This window comes from Homo sapiens, chromosome 15, assembly GCF_000001405.40.
Source record: "Homo sapiens chromosome 15, GRCh38.p14 Primary Assembly".
Taxonomy (NCBI): Eukaryota; Metazoa; Chordata; class Mammalia; order Primates; family Hominidae; genus Homo; species Homo sapiens.
Window position 1 is genome coordinate 51,339,183 of NC_000015.10, and position 21,668 is coordinate 51,360,850.

The window sequence follows — 21,668 nt, forward strand, 5'->3', positions numbered from 1 at the left end:
GCTGAGAGATGATCAGTCAACAGTAACTGCAATGAATGTTAGGATAAAGAGAAGCCCAGAAGGCTCCACGGTGTTCCAGCTGCTCACAGGGTAATCTGCCTGTCTTTTTTACTTCCGTATCTCCAATGCCCATTATCATACCAGGCACAGGAAGTGCTCAGTTAAGTGTTTACTGAATTAAATGAAGATCTGAATGATGCTGAGTGTCAACCCTCCCTCTCAGTGGCTCCTCCCCATTGGCCCTAAACCTGATACCTGGATGAAAAGAGATAAGGATACATGACAGTTCTTCAAGTAGGTCACAGAACGTTTGAGTTGGGAGGAAATGGACAAAGCTTTTTACATCACTGCCATCCCCTCCCAGTCATCATATCCCCACAGTGGGGGTACTTTATGAAACACTTGGACCTTCATGCTTTCCTAATTTCTTCTTATCCTGTATGCTCTTCTAAGAATACTGAAGTTGGTCAATGTTCCTATTAAAACTCAGGAATCTAAACTTTGACTCAGAATTTCTGATTGAGATGTCACTTCAGTTTCCTTGTGCATTCTCAGAGGCTCTACCCTGGCTCACCCTGGAGAGTAGGGGGCAAGAAGTCTGATACTACTCAGCTTTCTCTCCTGTGCCAAAAAATCCTACCTGCAAGAATTGGTATGTGTATTAGTCCATTCTTGCCTTGCTATAAAGAAAAGCCCGAGACTGGGTAACTTACAAGAAAAGAAGTTTAATTGGCTCATGGTTCCACAGGCTGAACAGGAAGCATGGCAGCACCTGCATCTGGGGAGGCCTCAGGGAGCTTTTACTCATGGAGGAAGGCAAAGCAGGAGCAGGAACATCTCACATGGTGGGAGCAGGAGGAAGAGGGGCCAGGAGAGATGCTACACACTTTTAAACAACCAGATCTCATGATAACTCACTATCATGAGAACAGCACTGAGGGGATGGTGCTAAACCATTCATGAAGGACCACTCCCATGATCCAGTCACCTCCCACTGGGCTCCACCACCAATACTGGGAATCGCAATTCAACATGAGATTTGGGTGGGGACACAGATCCAAACCACATCAGAATGTGAATCTTTGGGGAGTAGATGGTTACAGAGCTCCTACCATTAAGTCAAAAGGAGCTTGCTCTCTGATCATTTTACTGGTCTCCCTCAGGTGCTGAAACAGTGTGGTCTCTGATAGAGGAAGTCCTTTCTCTATAACTGCTCCAGCTGGCTCATTGGCGGGGAGGCACCTCTTCCTTGAGTTATTGGGCTATGGAAACAGCAATCCTGCCTTCTGGTTGGGTCTCCCAAATGGGAGACATCCAAACAGAGTGATTTTTTTTTTTTCTTAAACAATGTCAAACCCGAGGTTCTTAACATGGGGCTTGAAGATTGCTGTCTACGTTAGTTTCCCATAGGTCCTGGGGCCCCAGGGAAGCAGAGCCATTCTAGGAGAAGCTGAGAAAGATCTTGAGTGAAGAGGTTCTCTGAGGAGACTCAAAAGTGACTCTGCATTTGGTTGACAGTGACCCTCGAGGCAGAGCAGGTATTGGGCAACATAAAAGTTGTGAGGAGTAAATGAGAGGCATGGGAAAACATGTTTTCCTAGGGCTAGGTAAGAACCCAACCATGGCCCAGCTCTCCAACCCTTAGGCCAGAAAGCACCTCCTCATGGTCTTGGGACATGCTCAAAGCCTCCCAGCTGAGTAGCAACAGAGTGGCTTTAGAACTAGGTCTCCTGATTCCTGGGGTTTTTTTCCTCACCATCCTGCCATTTTCCAGATATGGATCTCATCGGAGAGTTCCTGACTTGTCAAATCCTGGAACTCTCCTTTCAAGGACGAGTCCTGTTGGCCAGGCAGTCCTGGGCTTTTCTGGTTCTGATGGGTGGCCTTTTTTGCCTTCCAGTGCCAAGTGTCTCCTTGCCCCTATCCATCCCCTTCCTGGGAAAGATCATCTGGGGTCTTCAGTGGCCTCGTGGAGCCTCATGGCCATGGTGGGGAGTGATGCGCAGCCTGGTGCTCGGGCCAGGACCAGACCTCCCATGGACAGTGGGCACGTGCCTTAGCATCTGGGCATGCTGATCTTTTTCTCCAAGAGGGCAGTGTGGGGGTAGAAGGGGGTGGAATCCGGAGACTTCTCTCCATAAGAATTCCTGCTCTCCCCCTCAGTCTGACCCTTGCTTTGCCTGTCTGGGCCACGGCAATGCCCTCAGGCAGAGCAGTGGGAAGAGGAGGAGAGGGTTTGCTCAGCTGGCGGGACTCTGGGAGCACGAGCCCTGCCAGCCCCTCCTCCGCAGGCTGCCTCCACTGGCTCCTCTCCTGCTTCTGCCCGCCTGTCCCTCTGGGCTGCTCGGGCGCCACCACTACTGTCCCCATCCCGCCCCGCCAGCTGGGCCAAAGGGTGACTTGACTCACGACGCTGCCACCAGCCCACGGCTTGCCCGAGGCGTATAAAGGCTGCCAGGGCCGCAGGCTGCCAAGCCCTGCCCTGCCCAAGGCGCATAGAGCATGGCCCGAGGCGCTGAGGGAGGCCGTGGGGACGCGGGTTGGGGCCTGCGTGGCGCCCTGGCGGCCGTGGCGCTGCTCTCGGCGCTCAACGCTGCGGGCACGGTGTTCGCGCTGTGCCAGTGGCGCGGGCTGAGCTCGGCGCTGCGGGCTTTGGAGGCGCAGCGGGGCCGGGAGCAGCGCGAGGACAGTGCCCTGCGCTCCTTCCTGGCCGAGTTGAGCCGCGCGCCGCGCGGGGCGTCCGCACCACCCCAAGACCCGGCCAGCTCAGCTCGCAACAAGCGCAGCCACAGCGGCGAGCCCGCGCCGCATATCCGCGCCGAGAGCCATGACATGCTGATGATGATGACCTACTCCATGGTGCCGGTAGGCGGGGTCTCTGTTCCCCGTGGCGCCCCGGCCAGGTGGGCGGCTGGGGGTGTGGGGCGAGGACGCCGACGCCCTCTTCTCCCCTGGCCAGGCTGCGAGGTGCTGCGGAGAGGGCTGTGGGCATGAGTAGCTGGGGATGTCACCTTGGCAAGCACCTCAACCCACTGGAGTCTGTTTTCTCATCTGTGAGGTTGGGGACAGGGTGAAGGAGGGAGTCTCTTCTACCTCTGACATTCTTTGAGTCCACATGTAAACGAAGGGCGAAGGCAGTGTTTCTAAGAGCCTATTTTCCTTCTCAGCTTAGACAAGTTTTCGTCTCCTGGTGTGAATGGAGCCGCAGCAGCCTTGGGGCTCCGCCTGTGCCACTGACCTGTGGGTGGGGCCCTCTGAGAGGATGGAGGCGCGTTTCTGAAAGAGCGTAGGCTTTTTCAATAAAGGGATTCTTTCCCTGGCATCAACTAGTGGTCTGGCTTTTCACCTGGCATCGCCTCATTCCTGCGAGATGGCCGGCCTAATTGTTTCCGTTTAAGTGAAAACAGCCCTAGTTTTACTGCCCACCTGGGACCTAGATGCTGGGAAAGTTGCCCCTGGATCTCAAGCAATTCCAAATGAGGGACGTCAATATGGTGCAATTTTTTTCTTAAAATGCAGTGTCAAAGCTGAGGTTCTTAACATGGGACCTGCGGATTGGTCTCCCCACTGGGCTCCAGGGAGTACACGGAACTGCAGAAATTGCCAAGTGTGTGTGCCTGTGCCCTCCTGCCCATGTGGATGAGGGTCTGCAGCTTTTCACTAGATCTTCAAGGGGTCCCCCATTGCATGCCTCCCCCAAAAGGTTTAAGAAACACTGCTCTGAAGAAAGTCTTCAAAGCCTCAAAGATTTGTTTTCCAGTGTTAAGTTTCTTTGCTTTTGCCGCTTTTAATTCAATAGGTATTTAACAAATACTATTAGATCACATTGCAGTTCCCCATTCCATTTCATTATTTATTACAATTGCAACAGTCTTGTTTCACTTTATAATTAGAAAGATTTCGGCTATTACCTCCAGTCAAGTGTGAGCCATACTTCAGAATCCTAGGTATTTGAAAATAAATTGACTTAAACTTCCGTTATCACAGAAGCTTTTAAATAACTTACATGAGCTGAAATGCTTTTAAAACTACGTAAAAGTACTACATACTTCAAATACATCTTTTGAGAGAGATCAAGTTTTCCATTCCTCACTTCATTTGTTTTTTAAATTCATGTTATCATTTAAAAATCTGGACCTAAGCAGAAGTTTCAAAAAAGGACTGCTATAAGATGAAAAAAACCTCCTTAGGGGAATTCATTCTCGCCCTTTCAGCTCTCTACCCTACATTTTAAGGCTTTTAAAAAATCCTCAAAAAGGGATACATCTGAGCATCATTGTTTTACATTTTTAATCCTGCTTTTAAGGTAGAAGCTTTCGTATCCGAATTGCAACCTATTCCGTCACTAACAAATTGAATGGAGACACTCATCTCTGTGTCAAATTAACTCTAGGTGACCTCGCAGTGCTACCACTAACTCTGTTACAGGTCAGAGAGCAGAACTATCACATGTGTCAGACTGGATATTATTAGTAGATTATCATCAACTAACTCATCCCCCACCTGCAATGGGTATGTTTTGACCTTTTAGAGTCATGAGGGCCTGTCCCTGAGGCTAGGAGAAGGCAATCATCTTACTACTCACTTTCCTCTTGGGAGCAGTTCTCAAACAGTAGGCTTAGGAATCAGCTGGAAGCATATTACAGTGCAGATTCCAGGGCCTCTCCCTCAGACCTATAGAATCCTCTCCAGAATCTGCTTTATTAGAAGTCCTCTGACCCTCATCCCCCCACCTCCTATGCCATTGGTGAGTTCGGTGCAGATGGTCCAGGCACCACACTTTAAGAAATACTACTCAGTCTCTAACACTGAGTCTTTATTGTGCACAGGAATATCTTGGGGATCTTGTTAATATGCAGATTCTGATTCAGATGGTCTAAGCTGGGGCCTAAGATTCTGCGTTTCTACCAAGCTCCCACTGCTACCAATGCTACTGGCCTGAAGACCACATTTTGAGTAGTAAGGTTGCCTACTGGAACTATTTGGGGAGCTTTCAAACTTACTGATGCCTGAATCCCATCCCCAGAGATTCTGAATTAATTTGTTAGGCCACAGCCTGGGGATGGAGTGCTTATTCTCCAGCAGGAAGGACCTTGGCATAACTTCCTATCGATAGTAGCTGTGTTAGGCATCACACTCCCACCAGACCCCATCAAGGCCTTTGCTTCAGGACGAGGAGCCAATTTTATTACTGAAAAGCTTTTTAATTTATGACAGCAATATTCTTTCCATTCAGCTTCACAGTTTTCCTCATCTTTACTCTCTGCTTTTCTCAGAACAATTATTCATATAAGAAAACAATTTTATAAAAAACATCATTTGGTAGCTCTTGGAGAGAAGTTAAGAGAATGATCTAGTATATATCGTGGAGGCAAGTGTATACACTTCTTATAGGTGAAGGCTACACCTTCCCTGGCCCTTTTATACACCACCAGATCTTGAATGAGAGTGAGATCCAAGGTCCTCACTGTGAGGTCTTATGTCCTTAGAGGTCTAGGAACGAAGAAACAAACTCTATGCAGACTAATGTCAACATTTCAAAAAGCCTTCCAGAATGGTTCATTTATCCAAGATGAACCTCAATTTAACTGATACTTTGAGTTTCTCTACTGTTGGCTGAAAATACATCAACTCAGCATAAGAATTCTGTTTAGCTGAGCACATTCTTACCAGAACCTGGTTGGCAGCTGTAAATGACTTCATTAAAAAGGCAAGATAATTATTAAGTACAGTTAATTTGACACAGCCAAGAAGCACATTAAATCTTTAAAACCATGTGCATACTTTTGGGAGACAGTAATAAGAGGAGCCCTGGATGGGGCTTGGAAACTACTGAATTAGGCCAATAAGGAAATGGGGATCTGGTGAGCGGGGAGAGAGAAAATTTGACCCATCTGCTACTAACTCCTGTGGGAGATGCTACTTCTGTTTACTCTCTTTTTCTCTGACCTCCTCTCATATTCTTTTTGTTCTCTTCCCATCAGCTACCCTCTCTCATTCCTCTCTTCCTGTCTCACATTTGCTGATGTTCTGGTAGCTTTATCATCCTGTCTTTACTTGTCCAAAATCTAGGGTCAAGCACCCAGAGGGAGTTTCATAAATATTTTCATAAATTAAACAAACATAGAGAAGATATAAGACACTGAGACTGGTGATTACGTATCCATGATAATTGTTGTCCTTGAGGGACTGTATGCATTTCTACGCCCAGGATATTGTTCAAAATGTCCTTGGCACCTCTCTAACAAGAAAATCAGCCTGGCTACTTTAAAGCAGGAGTTACAATTCAAATGTTCTTTTAAGGAAGGCAAATATGATTCCATAATAGTCAAATGATGAAAAGGCATTTGATAAAATTTAACATCAATGCTTGATTTTTAAAACATGCAATAAAATGGGAATCAATGTATTCTTTCTTAACATGATAAAATGTAATTGTGTCTCACCCCCAAAACTATAGCTTTCCACTGAACTGTCAAATCCTGGAGATGGTCCTACTAAAATCAGTATTAAGACAGGGATGCCCACTATCACCAATAGTATCTCGAATTGTCCTAGGAGGACCAGCCAGAGCAACAAGACAAGGGAAAATGGTCTAAATATGTTAAGAAGTGAGAGTCTGGCTATATTCAGATCATACGATTATATACCTGGAAAATCTGTTGATAACCTACTACTAAAAATAACAGAATTCAGTGGGAAACAAGGTATTAAAATATTACTAAGAAATCAATAGACTTCTTATACCCAAACAATCATCTGTTGAAAGATATAATGGAAGAAAAGATGTGCAAAACCTGTGTGTGTATCTATATACTTACCTTTTGTGTTAAGAAAGGGCTGGGGGACCACTCTTGTAGAACAGAAAATATTTAAACCAAATGGTAAAAATAGTATGTTTTTGGATAGAAAACTTAGCATCATAATAAGTTAACTGAAAGTTAACTTAGAAATCTGATGTCATCCCAACATAAAACTATCAATAGATTTTTTTTTCTGGGATTAGACAAACTGATTCAAAAGTTCACATGGAAAAATAAGCATTCCTGGCAAGGAAACCGCTGAAAAAGAACAAGGAGGAACACTAGGTTCTACAAGATATTAAAATATAATTAAAGCCTGAGTAATTAAAACAGAGTGGGATATGAATAGATAAACCAATGGGACAGAGTGGAAAGTTCCGAAATAATCTTAAATACATATGGCAATTTAGTACATGATAAAGACAGTATCTCACACCAGGGAGGAAGAATGAATTTAATAAATGATTTTGAGACAACGGGCAAGCCCTCTGGGAAAAGATAAAGCCTGGAAAAGAATAGTTTTATTCTCACAATGTGTATAACAAGCTCTAAATGGGTCAAAGACTTACATTTTTAAAATATGAAACTAAAGGAAAATATGAGTATATCATTTTTAATTTTGGAATTGGGAAGCCTTTTCTTTCAAGTTATAATTCAAAAGCCAGATGCAAATAATAAATAAACAAATGTGACTATATTTTAAAAGCACATGAAACAGCAGCAAAACTTCGGCATAGCAAACAACAACAAAAATGAAAACACCACAAACAAAAGCAAAAGATAAATAACAAACTAGGAGGCCGGGTGTGGTCGCTCACGCCTGTAATCCCAGCACTTTGGGAGGCTGAGGCAGGTGCATAACCTGAGATCAGGAGTTCAAGACCAGCCTGGCCAACATGGTGAAACCCTGTCTCTACTAAAAATACAAAAATTAGCCAGGCATGATGGTGAGTGCCTGTAATCCCAGCTACTCGGGAGGCTGAGGCGGGAGAACCGCTTGAACCCAGGAGATGGAGGTTGCAGTGAGCCGAGGTGGCACTACTGTACTCCAGCTGGGCGACAGAGGAGGACTCCATCTCAAAAAAAACAAAACAAGCAAAACAAACTGGAAAACTCATATCATATCATAGATACATAATCTTTCTAATACACTTAATGTTCCTAAAAGTTGATTAAAAAAATTTAATAGGAAAATCAGCAACAGAAATGAGAATCCAACAGGAAAATGAGACAGTTCTCAGGCAAAGAAATACAAATGTCTCATAAGCACATGGGAAAAGATCTCTTCATTTAAAAATGTAGATTTCAACTACCCCAAAATATAATTTTCACCTAACACAAGCTTGTGCAATCTGTGGCCCAGGATGGCTTTGAATGTGGCCCAACTCAAATTCATAAACTTTCTTAAAACATTATAAGATTTTTTTGCGATTTTTTTTCCTTTTAGCTCATCCGTTATTGCTAGCATTAGTGTATTTTATGTGTGGCCCAAGACAATTCTTCTTCTTCCATTGTGGCCCAGGGAAGCCAAAAGATTGGACACCCCTAACCTAACAGAAAGACAAAACTACAAAAGTTTGACAACACACTGTATTAGGGAAGCTGAAGAGAAACAGACATGCTCTTGCATTGCTGTTCGGAGTGCGGAATGATGGAACCCATACAGAAGGCACTTTGGCAAAATCTGGAAAAAATTACAAATACTCTTTGACCCAGCAATCTCACCATAGATTTTATCACCTATGAATGACATATGTACATATTCATTGCAGAATATTTGTAAAAGCAAAAGACTGTAAATAACCCATATCTACCAATCCAGTACTAGTTAAATTAATCTATACACCCACTGGAATACTAAGTAGCTGTAGAACAAGAATGAGGAAATTCTCTATATAATAAGAGTCAGAACAATCCCCAGGATATATTCTAAGTGAACAAAGCAAGGCAGAGAAAAGTATATATTGTATTACCTTGTGGAAGCAAGAAAGGGAAAACTAATCAAAGAAATTAACAAAAGTGCTTACTTTTGGAGGGTATAAGGGAGGAATGAACCCCTCACTGTATAGCTTTCTGTATCATTTTGACTTTTGAACCATGTGACTGTGTTACTCTCTTCTTTATGGGAGTAAAAAGGGCCTTGTACCCCAGGTAATTTGGCAGCTGCTCCTAGGCCAGGGAGCAATAGAGCACGGTAGGGACTGCACCCACCTGAGGTTCATCTGCCTTGTCTAAAGGGGAGGCTCCCGCTGATGGTGACTGTACAAGAACCGGAGCCTCCTGCTTCCTGTGCCTGATATTTTTTTCTTTTCTGTTCTGTTCTTTTCTTTTTTATTTTTTTATTTTATTTTATTTTTTTATTTTAGAGACAAGGTCTTACAGTGTCGCCCAAGCTGGAGTGCAGTGGAGTGATCATAGCTTACTGCCGCCTTGACTAATTGGGTTCAAATGATCCTCCTGCCTCAGCCTCCTGAGTATCTGGGACAAGTGTGTGCCACCACACCTGGCTAATTAAAAAAAATTTTTTTTCTTTAGTAGAAATCTCACTATCTTGCCCAGGCTGGTCTTGAACTGCTGGGCTCTAGAAATCCTCCTGCTTCAGCCTCCCAAAGTGCTGGAATTATAGACATGAACCACTGTGTCTAGCCTGATTTTTTTTTTAAGAGAAGTACAAAATCTGTTTTTTTTAATGTGAAATCTCCTGGCTTTTAAATATTGACAGCAATTCAAAAAAGTTCTTTTTTTGTTTTTTTAGTTGGCTGACAGAATGTTGGCCAAACAACACTCACATTGTTAGGGGCCATGTTAGGACTTCCAATCATGCATTTGCAGAAGTCTCATCTCAGAATCATGAGTGGCTTTGAACCCAAAGGGCTTTATTTAGCTTGACCACAATGCCTTTATTTACCAGCCTGATTCTGAAAGTATAGTAGTTACTGTGTCATTGTGATTGTTGCTATTACTGATTGAGGTCGATGTGGTTTTTTGCAATGGGTTTGGTTTCAGTTTTTTGTTGTTTTTTGCTGTTTCTAAAAATCAATTCCATCTTCGGTGGACGGAGATTTCCTGTCACTACGGCTTTTCAAAAGCATGTACTCCCGATTCTTAGGGTAGTTCCCAGCAGGCGATTACAGCTGGATTAAGCAGTAACACATTATTATAGCAAACAGGTAGCTTTGCATTATGACTGCTGTAAGCTACACTGATATGAATCTAGAAATTCTATTGTTTATAGAGAAAAAAAATCACATTACCTACAGTCACAGCTCCTGTTTGCAGTGCTATATTTCCTTAAATTGGCTGTGCCAGAGTTTATTTCCCTTTCCCACTTCCTTGGACTGGGTTATTTCCAAATGTTGTAAAAGCTGAGGATTTAGACTGGGGTCAGCAAACTATGGCCTGTAGGCCAAGTCTAGCCTGCTATTCTACTTGTTTTTGTACAGGCTATGAAGAATGGCTTTTACATTTATAAATGGGTGGGGAAAAAACAAAAGAATAATAATATTGTGTGACATGTGAACATGATATGATATTCAGATTTCAGTAACCATAAATAAAGTCTTATTGGGATACAGTCATGCCCATTTGTTTACAGACTGTCTATTGCTGCTTTGGCACTACAGCAGCAGGTTTGAATAGTTGCAGCAGAGACCATGTGACCCACAAAGCCTAAAATAGTTTTTGTCTCGTTCTTCTCAGAAAAACTTTGCCAGACCTCCACTTACATCGTAATTCCCTGGAACGGCACTAGGGCTGATTTTTTTTTTTTTTTTAGACAGAGTCTCTCTCTGTCACCCAGGCTGGAGTGCAGTGCTGTGATTTTGGCTCACTGCAACCTCTGCCTCCTGAGTTCAAGCGATTCTCCTGCCTCAGCCTCCCGAGTAGCTGGGATTACAGGCGCTTGCCACCATGCCCAGCTAATTTTTTGTGTGTGTTTTTAGTAGAGACGGGGTTTCACCGTGTTAGCCAGGATGGTCCTGATCTCCTGACCTCGTGATCTGCCCGCCTCAGCCTCCCAAAGTGCTGAGATTACAGGCGTGAGCCACCGCACCCGGCCTAGGGTTGATTCTTAGTAGCTCGGGCTACTAAATCAGGGGTGCTCCAGCCTTGGTTAACTCTGGGGTCTAACACCTCTCCCAAGGAGATGGAATGCAAGACAGAGGCACCCTAAGAGTGTTGTTCCATGTACAGTGAGGCTGTAGGGCTGAGCCAGGCTGCTTGCTGGCTTCCCAAACTGAGAGCAAACAATGTTAGGGGAGCTTTTAGCCATCTATTATTCCCAAATGTAGGCCTTGTTTCAAACTCTATCTGTTCTCTTTGATTGAAGGAGAGAGATGCATACCACACTAGGTCCTGTGGGGTGAGGGGTTGGGGGAGCTGATGAGAGATTAGAGGCCTGATACAGGAGGATTAAAAAAGAAAGGGTGACCAAAGTCATAAACCCCATGCAGAGCCTGGGAAGTGGGTTTCCGTGGCCCTTCTCACTGCAGCGTGTGCACACGTGCATTTAGGACGTCAGTGCTGTGTACTCTGAGCACACCTGACACTGTATGCTTTGTTCCCATGTCAGAAGCCATCTCTAGGTATCAATTAAGGTTTGGGAGAGAGCTTGCAGCCATATCTCTGCTAAGATTGTGTCTAGTGGTGTTGGTGATGGGAACACACCTATAAGCCTAACTCATGTCGCAGGCAATGATGGTGCACAAGGAAGACAGGAGGGAGCTGGCCCCTGAGATCCATTGCATACACACAAATAAAGCATTCCTTGTAAGAAATTATTGGCATGATTCTCTAGGGACATATATAAGAAACAGGCGGGTCAAGGCTGATCATCTGGACCCATGAAAATAGAGCAGTTGTGTTGACCAAATGAATGGCATGAAACCATCAGGACCTACTCTCATGTCCCAGAACTATTAAAAGTCTCTGGTCTCTTTCTATGCAAAGCAGCAGAGGTGAGGGCAGTAGTAATGAGCCTCCTGAGGCTTTACAGACTGAGCAGGGTAGAACCTTCTGGGGCTTGGTGAGTTCTCGGCTCTTGTCTTTTTTCTTTTTTTTTAAGTGAACGTAAACTCAAGATTTTTTTGTCTTCATAATAAAACAAAAGATGACACTTAAAATGAGATATCTTGGCCCTTTCTCTTCTTATCTCCTCCCAGTTCAAAATGCTTGCATCTCTTGATAGCTAGCCTTCTCTTAGATCTGTTTAGAGACAGGGTCTCACTATGTTGCCCACGGTGGACTGGAACTCCTGGGCTCAAGTGTTCCTCCTGCCTCAGCCTCCCAAAGTACCGGGATTACAGGCATGAGTCACCATGCCCAACTGCTCTTGTCTTTATGCACACTATTTCACTGCCTTTCCCTCAATCTTCCCTGCCACTATGCCGGGGAAAAAATTGATTTTTGTCTTGGAACTCAGAGTCACATTAAAAGTACCTGAAAACTGTCTCTCCACTCTAGGGAGACAGCAGTACCCTGTGATCAGCTGATTATTTAGTAGCTCTGCCCACTAGACCACAGGCTGAGAGATCCTTTGGCAAAGGTCCCTCCTGGTGTGAGTTCCAGAATAATTTCTCAGATCACAAGTCCTTCAAAGCCAAGGGCTGGTTCATCCTTCTCAAGCTCTCATGCCAGGATCTCCCTATGGCAGTCACAGGCTCACCTGCCCATGGTACTGCTGCCACCTTCAGCCCTCATGTACCTGTCCTTAGCTCAAGCAACCTGGGATCTTTCTTCATTGTTAAGTTCCCAGCCCCATTCTCTCTCCCTAATTCTTTGAAGTATGTGGTGGTGGTAAGCAGTGTGGACTTGGAAGTCAGATGGATTCATATCCTGGACCCACAGCTTGGTAGCTGGGTGATCTTGGGCAAATCTTTTAACTTCACCAAGCCTCAGTTTCCTCATCTGTATGACTGAGAAAATAGTAACTACCTCATTAGGTTGTTCGGATGTTTAAGGGAGATCATATAGGTGAAGTGCACTGCCTGGTATAGTCAGGTTCTCAATAAGTGTTCATTGTTGCTGTTATTAAGATTTATCATATTCTTAGTTGATTCAGGCTGCTATAACTAAATACCATAGGCTAGGTAGCTTATAAATGACTGAAATTTATTTCTTATGGTTCTGGCAGCTGGGGAGTCTAACATCTAGGTGCCGAAAGATTGGGTGTCTGGTGAGGGTCTGTTTTCTGGTTCATAGATGGCACCTTCTCACCTTCCACCATGGTGGAAGGGCAAGGCAGCTCTCTGGGGCCTCATTTTTATAAGGTTATTAATCATTTTTATGATTTTATAAAATCATTTTTATAAGGTCATTAATCCTATTTATGTAGGCTTTCCCTTCATGACCTAGTCACCTTCCAATATCCCCACCTCCTAATATCATCACATTGATGATTAGGTTTCAATGTAGGAATTTGGGGGTACACAAATATTCAGACCATGGCACTCAATATTGCTTTGCCATTAGCCCTTTTTGCCCTATGCTCCTAGTGTCTTGTTTCTGGGTTTACTCTTTATTTCCATTTCCTTCAGGGTGCCAACTTGTCTGTTCATCTGTGCTTTTATCAGCTGCTGCTTTGGGATAGTATTTGGCCTCTTAAAGCCTGGATTGGAATCATACCAACCTAAATCATCTTGGCATTGACAACAAAACAGAGTTCCCCTTGATATGGCAACAGGGCTTCTTCAGAGATTCAGGATTTCACAGCTCCCACCCCTCTGAAACTGCCTTAGCAAAGATTATAATAGTGTGAAAATTATGACAGTGAAAGAAATCTGACCTAACTGGCTCCATCTTGCTTTTAACCTCCAAGCTTCCCTCGTTCTTTCCTCAAAGTAGGCTGAACTAACTTTGGAAGGAACTTATAGTTTAACTGTTTAACAACGTTGATATCAGCCCCTCCCCAAAATGAACTCCCTCCTGGCTTGGGAAGCACAGCACCTTTGTAAAACAAAAAAATTAGCCACAAGATTAGAAGTTATGGCTTAAGAGTCAGGCAGCCAGAGGCCACAAGATTACTAACCTCCCCAATTGCTCCTATAGATAACATGACTGTTGTAAAACATAAGATTGGTATTCAAGGTATTTTTTAGACTCTGCATTCTGATGGATCAGCTGGCACCACCAACACCAATAAACTGGTTCATCTGTCTTGTGGCCCCCATCTAGGAACAGACTTGGCATAAGAGGAGAGCTTCAACTCCCTGTGGTTTCATCCCTGACCCAACCAATCAGCATTTCCCATTTCCTAGCCCCCTCTGCCTGCCAAACTATCTTTCTAAAACCCTAGCCTCTGAACTTTTGGGGAGGCTGATTCAAGTAATAATAAAACTCTGGTCTCCTGTTTAGCCAGCTCTATGTGTATGAAACTCTTCGTTGCAATTCCCCTGTCTTGATAAATCGACTCTATCTGCACAGCAGGCAAGATGAACCTGTTGGGTAGTTATGCCTCTGCGTGACCACTGATGATAAGATTTGGCACTCACTGAAAGGCAGTCATCTTCACCACTCTCCGACTGGCTCAGCTATTGTTAACTTCTGTTGATTCCTGTTGGTGGCATTCCTGAAAAAAAATTTGTATGCTGGCATTTGGAAAATTGAGAAAATGTGAGTGGAAGGTAGAGCAAAAACAGGTAGAGAAAGAACAATTTTACTTCTTAGGGGTCTTGTGTTCTCCAGGATATTGTTGCCAATGTGGGAACTATCAGAACAGTCCTCGGATTTGATTAAAAAAAAAAAAAAAAAAAACCACAGTCAATTAAAAAAAAAAAAAAGACACTCTTTTATTCCCTCTACATTCCTCAAACTCACCACCACCACCACCACCACACACAAAAAAGAAATTCTTGGCCAAATCTACTTGACATTCAAGATTAATTTACATGCATTTTATCTACAGACTAAAGGTCATGTTGTTTAAAACAAGCTGAAGCTTTTAGGTTGTAATTAAGCTACAAAGGGAGCATTTTGCAGCCCATCCGTTGCTTTTATGTAGATCTTTAACAGCTCTATACTTTAAATGGATATAATCTGCTTCTAGTTTATCTAAAGTTGAAGACACACTTTTCTTTTCTGAAAGGTAGCCTTAAAACAACAAGGCCAACTAAAGATCGTTCAAAATGCAATTTGTGGAGTTTGTTCTGAATCCGATAGAGCAACCCCTTCATCTGCCACCCAGAAAAAGTCTGTGCTTGCCAAAGTGCTGGGAAACTTGGAGGTCCTGCCTAGGCTCTATATAAAAACTGTGAAGTACTTTATAATGAGTTGTGAATAAGTGTACTCCAAAATGTTGAGCTGGTGATGGCAAAATAATTCCCTGGTTTTTTTTGTTACTCAGTGGGTGAGTGTTGGAGTCTGGTATCCTTTTTACTGGAAGGTGGAAAATGCCTACCCCCACCTAAGCCACATTTGGGGACCTTGGAATCAGTCTCTAAACAGGAAGACCTTTAGAGGAAAATCCTTCACAGTGACTGTGTGGAAAGCATGGGGGCACTGAAGAAGAGAGAAAATAAGTCCTCACTAAGGAAATTGAACTCAAAATGGGCAATGGAGAGTTGTTGAGACTGGGGCAGGCAAGGAGGGTGAATCATTCCAAGTACAGGCAATAATATGAGCCAAGGTCTAGGGATTGAAATGAAAATGGTGCAAGTCAGGAAGAACAAGAAGCCAGACAGGCCTTCCTGTACTGGAGAGTTTGGAGTAGGGAGAAGGGAACTAAGGTTGGCTGGGTTAGAGAGAGGCTTGAATTTCTACTTTTGAGAAATTGAGAATGAACCTAATGAGGAATTGGGAGCCATCGTAGAACCTTTGCCAGGGAAGAGTCATAAAGGCTGTGGTTTTATAGGAGGACAGATCTGTTGGTGCAATGCAGGAAAGACTGGAAATGGGGAAAGACTGAAGCAAGAAGAAAGTTAGAAAGTTATTACATTAATCCAGGCAAGAAACAATTCACGTATGGCTAAGATAATGGCATTGGAAATGAAGAAGGGTTATATCCTAGAAATATCAAAAGAGAAGCTTGAATTAATTTTGCTAACTAATTGGATATAAGGAAAAGTGTTACTGGAAAGAGGTCCTTATCCAGACCCCTTAGAGAGGGTCCTTGGATCATGCACAAGAAAGAATTCAGGGTGAGTCCACAGAATAAAGTGAAAGCAAGCTTATTAGAAAAGTAAAGGAACAAAAGAATGACTACTCCAGAGGCAGAGCAGCCCCAAAGGCTGCTGGTTGGCTATTTTTATGGTTATTTCTTTATTATAGGCTAAATATGGGGTAGATTATTCAAGAGTTTTCTGGGAAAAGGGGCAGGGATTTCCCAGAACTGAGGGTTCCTCTTCCTTTTAGCCTATATAGAATAACTTCCAGCCATTGCCATGGCATTTGTAAACTGTCATGGTGCTGGTGGGAGTGTCTTTTAGCATGCTAATGCATTATTAATTGGCACGTAATGAGCAGTGAAGATGACCAGATGTCATTTTGAATGCCATCTTGGTTTTGGCTGGCTTCTTTACTGCATGCTTTTTTCTTTTTCTTTCTTTCTTTTTTTTTTTTTTTTGAGATGGAGTCTCACTCTGTTGCCCAGGCTGGAGTCCAGTGGCATGATTTCGGCTCACTTTAACCTCCGCCTCCTGGGTTCAAGCGATTCTCCTGCCTCAGCCTCCTGAGTAGCTGGGACCACAGGCACGCACCAACACACCCGGCTAATCTTTTGTATTTTTAGTAGAGACGGGGTTTCACCGTGTTAGCCGGGATGGTCTTGATCTCCTGACTTTGTGATCTGCCCACCTTGGCCTCCCAAAGTGCTGGGATTACAGGCGTGAGCCACCACACCCGGCCCTACTGCATGCTGTTTTATCAGCAAGGTCTTTGTCACCTGTATCTTGTGCTGACCTCCTGTCTCATCCTGAGAGATGAGAGGTGACTTAGAATACCTAACCTCAGCCGGGTGTGGTGGCTCACGCCTGTAATCCCAACACTTTGGGAGGCCAAGGCGGGCGGATCACGAGGTCAGAAGATCGAGACCATCCTGGCTAACATGGTGAAACCCCGTCTCTACTAAAAATACAAAAGATTAGCCGGGCGTGGTGGTGCGTGCCCGTGGTCCCAGCCACTCCAGAGGCTGAGGCAGCGGACTGTCTTAAACCCGGGAGGTGGAGGTTGCAGTGAGCCGAAATCGCGCCACTGCACTATAGCTGGGGAACAGAGTGAGACTCTGTCTCAAAAAAAAAAAAAAAGAATACCTAACCTCCTGGGAAGGCAGCCCAGCAGGTGTCTCGGCCTTATTTTACCCAGCCCCTATTCAAGATGGAGTCACTCTGGTTAGAACACCTCTGACAAAAGGAGCCACTTGGTCCAGATCCATTTAACATCAAGGATGGTGGTGCTATGGACAGAAGTGAGGAAACATGGAAGCGGGCTACTTTAGAAGTGAGGATGCTGAGTTTGTTTTGGGACTGAATATGACATTAAAAGAGAGAAGGAAAACTGAGATAAGAAAGAATATTCAGGGAAAGGAGAACATCCTGCTTCCAAGGAGAACTCTGCCTTCTCCATGTAAGAGGACTTTCCAAATTAAAAAGTAAAAGGCAGACCGCAAAATGATCTAAGCCTTTATAATGGTAAAGAGCGTGGGCATTGGAATCATACTGTGAGTTCACTTGTGGCTCCCCATCAGCCGTGTGACCTTCGGCAGGTCACTCAACCCCCTGCATCTCAGTTCCCTCAGCTTTAAAAAGGTGGCGATAGCAGTATCTAACCTACAAGTTATCATAAGAACTCAGTTCAATAATCTATGTAAAGTCCTTAATACAGTGCCTAGAACTCAATATATTTTCACTCATCAATATTATTTTAGTATTTTTCAAATGCTGCCATTCTGTGTTTCAGGGAATTTGGAAGCCTTGTAATAAAAAGAATTTGGAGATAAATCAAAAGAACTTGCCAGAAAAACAGCAGATTCTAGAATGACCCTAAAGTTTGGAATCTTGGGTGACTGGGACAACACACAGACCTCTAGAAAAAATACTGTTTTCCAGATAGGTGTTTTGATAGTTAATGGGGACTAAAAAGGAAAAATGTATTTTGGATATTGGATTTAGGGAGATTAATTATACTAAGCATAATTGGAAAATATTTGACTGTAGTTGGGCAACCCTTCCAGGTCCCCTTCCACCACATGGAAGCTTTACTTTAGCTTTCGCTTTCCTTTCACTTTCACTTTAATAAATCTTGCCACTGCACACTCTTTGGGTCCACGCATTTCTCTAATTGAGCCGTAACACTTGCCACTGTGGTCCACGGCTTCATTCCTTGAAGCCTGTGAGACCATGAATCCTTCAATTGAGAAAAACCTTTGATCGGGAGAAGACTTCTCGTCTCATTTCTGGGGGCCTGTCTGGGATTTCTCCAAAGCGGTGAGTAACACTGGACCCCTTTCACTTGCTATTCTGTTCTATCTTCTCGCTAGAAATTGGAGGAAGACACGAGGCACCTGTCGGCCATTTAAAAGTGACAAGTGCAGCCATCTGACTTAAGACACAGGTGTGAGGCTTTCTGGGAGAGGGCTCTCTAACAACCCCCAGCCCTCTGCGCTGGGAGCATTGGTTTGCCTGGAACCAGTTCCACCTTTTTCTACCTTTCCTGAGAAAAGCCAAGGGCTGACTAGAGGCGGAAAACTGTCATCCCGAACTCCCAGCACTGACCCGGTTGAGATCATGGCACAGCCAGAAGCCTCTACTCTGCAGCCGCCCATGCATGCATTCCATGCCTCCTGGTTCTAATGTCCTCAGATAAGACTTTCTTGAGGCCCTATCCTCTAGGATCTTTCCTACCCCTGAATTTAAGAATCATCTTTGGGCTAGGAGCCTAAGTTGAGGGAGGTGAAAATCCAAAGACCCTTGCCCATGGTGCCCCCATGGGCACAGACCTGTCCGTGCCCTGTCCCTCGTACCTGTCCCTAGGGACCTGTCCCTCGTACCCTGTACCCTAGGCACTATCCGGGACATCAAAAGGCGTGTCAGTGGCTGATAGAAGGCCTAGGACATTTTTCCTTTGGTGCCCTAAACTTACTCCAGATTATAGAGGCTACTTTAATTACCACCTTTCCCATCTGGGATCAGCGATTAAAACTGTAGAACTTCTCCACTCAAAGCAATGAGACTTATGGGCCGAAAACAATATAATAGATAATAGGTCCCCCCAATTCAAGTCCAAAGGTCAATGAATATTCTTAGGAGGGCAAATAGGTGACAGAAAATTCAGGTACGAAAAGCACTGTTCCAACCTTGGTCCTCCAATTTGCCAGTGCCTACCCTAAAACTGTTGTGCTTCAGTGCCATTTTCAAGGAATTTATCTTGCTGGGACAGCTCCAAGCCCAGAAATACGCTAACTGGTACCTGGTCTCTGAATTTAAAATACACCCCGAACCTAAGACTCACTCTTAGATGCAAAGGTAATTGTGGGCACGCTGGTAAGGAGCCACTAAAATCCAGCAGTCCCGGTCCCCTTTTCTGTGTGGCTAAAAAAGGACAGGAAACAAGTGCGGGCAAAACTGCTATGTCGGTAAGCACAATTAAATTCATTAAGCAGGGTTCCATGGGTGATTGCACACCCTGGAAAGAAAAGGACACCAGAACCATAGGGGATGCCCTAGGGCTAGTGCTCACTAGGGGATGACTAGGGGTGTGGGCACTTCTATGTTCTCCTTTCAGATGGGAGACGTCCCTCAAAAGCAAAACCACCCCTGAGGTGTATTCTGGATAACTGGGACCAATTTGACCCTCAAATGCTGAAGAAGAAGTGACTTATATTTTTCTGCAGCACCACCTGGCCACAATAGCCTCTTCCCGGAGGAGAGACATGGCCACCCGAGGGAAGTAACTATAATACCGTCCTACACCTAGGTGTCTTTTGTAAACAGGAGGGCAAATGGAGTGAAGTGCCATATATACAGGTTTTTTTCTCACTAGGGGATAACCCACAATTATGTAAAAAATGTAATTTACATCCTACCGGGGGTCCTCAAAGCCTACACCCATACTCAGGTCTCCCCATGGCTCCCCCTCCCACTAGTAAGGACTCTCCTTTGGCCCTAATGGCCCAAAAGGAACCAGACAAAAAGATAGTCAAGGAACCAAAAGCCACCAATGGCCCTCAATTGTGCCCCCTCCAAGCCGTGGGAGGAGGAGGAGACTTTGGCCCAGCACGAGTGCATGTCCCTTTTTCCCTCTCAGACTTAAAACAGATCAAACCGGACCTAGGAAAATTCTTAGATAATCCTGATGGATATGTAGACGTCTTACAGGGATTAGGACAATCTTTTGATTTAGCATGGAGAGATACTATGTTGTCGTTAGGTCAAACATTAACTCCCAGCGAAAAAGAGGCCACAGCTAAGGCTGCAGGATCCCTGGGAGTTTGGGGATCTCTGGTACCTAAGCCAGGTAAATGATAAAATGACATCAGAAGAAAGGGAACAATTCCCCACAGGCCAACAGGCGGTTCCCAGTGTGGATCCCCATTGGGACCTCAATTTGGAGCATGGAGACTGGAGTCACAGGCATTTACTGACTTACATACTAGAGGGATTAAGAAAGACCAGAAAAAAGCCAATGAAGTACTCAGTGATGTCCGCCATAACACAGGGAAAGGAAGAAAACCCTATGGCATTTTTAGAGAGGCTAAGGGAGGCATTAAGAATGCATACCTCAGCCAGGCGCGGTGGCTCATGCCTGTAATCCCAGCACTTTGGGAGGCCGAGGAGGGCGGATCATGAGGTCAGGAGATCGAGACCATCCTGGCTAACATGGTGAAACCCTATCTCTACTAAAAATGCAAAAAAAAATTAGCCAGGCATGGTGGCAGGCACCTGTAGTCCCAGCTGCTTGGGAGGCTGAGGCAGGAGAATGATGTGAACCCGGGAGGCGGAGCTTGCAGTGAGCCTAGATTGCGCCACTGCACTCCAGCCTGGGCGACATTGTGAGACTCTGTCTCAAAAAAAAAAAAAAAAAGAAGAAAGCATACCTCTTTGTCACCTGACTCTACTGAAGGCCAACTAATTTTAAAGGATAAGTTTATCACTCAGTCAGCTGCAGACATTAGAAAGAAACTTCAAAAGTCTGCCCTGGGCCCCGAGCAAAATTTGGAAACTCTATTGAATTTGGCAACTTCGGTGTTTTGTAATAGAGATCAGGAGGAGCAGGCTGAACGAGACAGATGAGACAAGAAAAAGGCCTCCACCTTAGTCATGGCCCTCAGACAGACGAACTTCAAACTTCGGTGGTTCTGAAAGAAAGAAAGGCTGGGCAGGCAACCCGCCTAACAGAGCTTATTATCAGTGTGGCTTACAGGACCACTTCAAAAAGGACTGCCCAAACAATAAGCTGCCCCCTCGTCCATGTCCCTTGTGCCAGGGGGATCACTGGAAGGCACACTGCCCCCGAGGGCGAAGGTTCACTGGGCCAGAGGCCACTAACCAGATGGTACCACAACAGGACTGAGGGTGCCCGGGGCAGGCACCAACCCATGCCATCACCATCACAGAGAGCCCCAGGTAAGTTTAACCATTGAGGGCCAGGAAACTAACTTCCTCCTGGACACTGGCACGGCCTTCTCAGTTTTACTCTTCTGTCCCGGATAACTATCCTCCAGGTCTGTCACCATCAAAGGGGTCCTAGGACAGCCAATACTAGGTATTTCTCCCACCCCCTAAGTTGTGACTGGGGAACCTTATTTTTCTCACATGCCTTTCTTATCATGCCTGAGAGCCCTACTCCTTTACTAGGGAGGGACATATTAGCTAAAGCAGGGGCCATTATATACTTATTGTTCACGACATAGGTAGCTATCCCCTGTGTGGAGGGAGG

The 21,668-nt window shown here is 44.7% G+C and overlaps 1 protein-coding gene across 6 annotated transcripts in view, besides 5 other annotated features; it reads left to right on the forward strand.

Annotated features, from left to right (window-relative positions):
* Positions 1-1,824: part of a biological region, named in NCBI's record as "CYP19A1 promoter I.1", that runs on past the window's edge. NCBI's record gives its function as "regulatory_interactions: CYP19A1".
* Positions 1,461-1,824: an enhancer, noted in NCBI's record as "-2408 to -2047". NCBI's record gives the evidence for it as "EXISTENCE:reporter gene assay evidence [ECO:0000049][PMID:8132535]".
* Positions 1,514-1,557: a transcriptional cis regulatory region, noted in NCBI's record as "hATRE-2". NCBI's record gives its function as "positive regulation of enhancer activity" and the evidence as "EXISTENCE:site-directed mutagenesis evidence [ECO:0005528][PMID:8132535]".
* Positions 1,531-1,557: a protein binding site, noted in NCBI's record as "oligo-e". NCBI's record gives the evidence for it as "EXISTENCE:protein binding evidence [ECO:0000024][PMID:7626451, PMID:7635140]".
* Positions 1,630-1,654: a transcriptional cis regulatory region, noted in NCBI's record as "hATRE-1". NCBI's record gives its function as "may negatively regulate enhancer activity" and the evidence as "EXISTENCE:site-directed mutagenesis evidence [ECO:0005528][PMID:8132535]".
* The window catches only part of GLDN (gliomedin), a 71,711-nt gene continuing 52,515 nt past the window's right edge, over positions 2,473-21,668 (forward strand). For 3 of the 6 annotated variants that reach the window (XM_017022125.1, NM_181789.4, XM_017022121.2), the window contains exon 1: positions 2,473-2,865. In XM_017022125.1, coding sequence (XP_016877614.1) covers positions 2,503-2,865 — 363 coding nt within the window. In that variant the 5' untranslated portion in view covers positions 2,473-2,502. The other 3 variants (XM_017022126.3, XM_017022124.3, XM_017022122.3) reach the window with 3 other exon arrangements.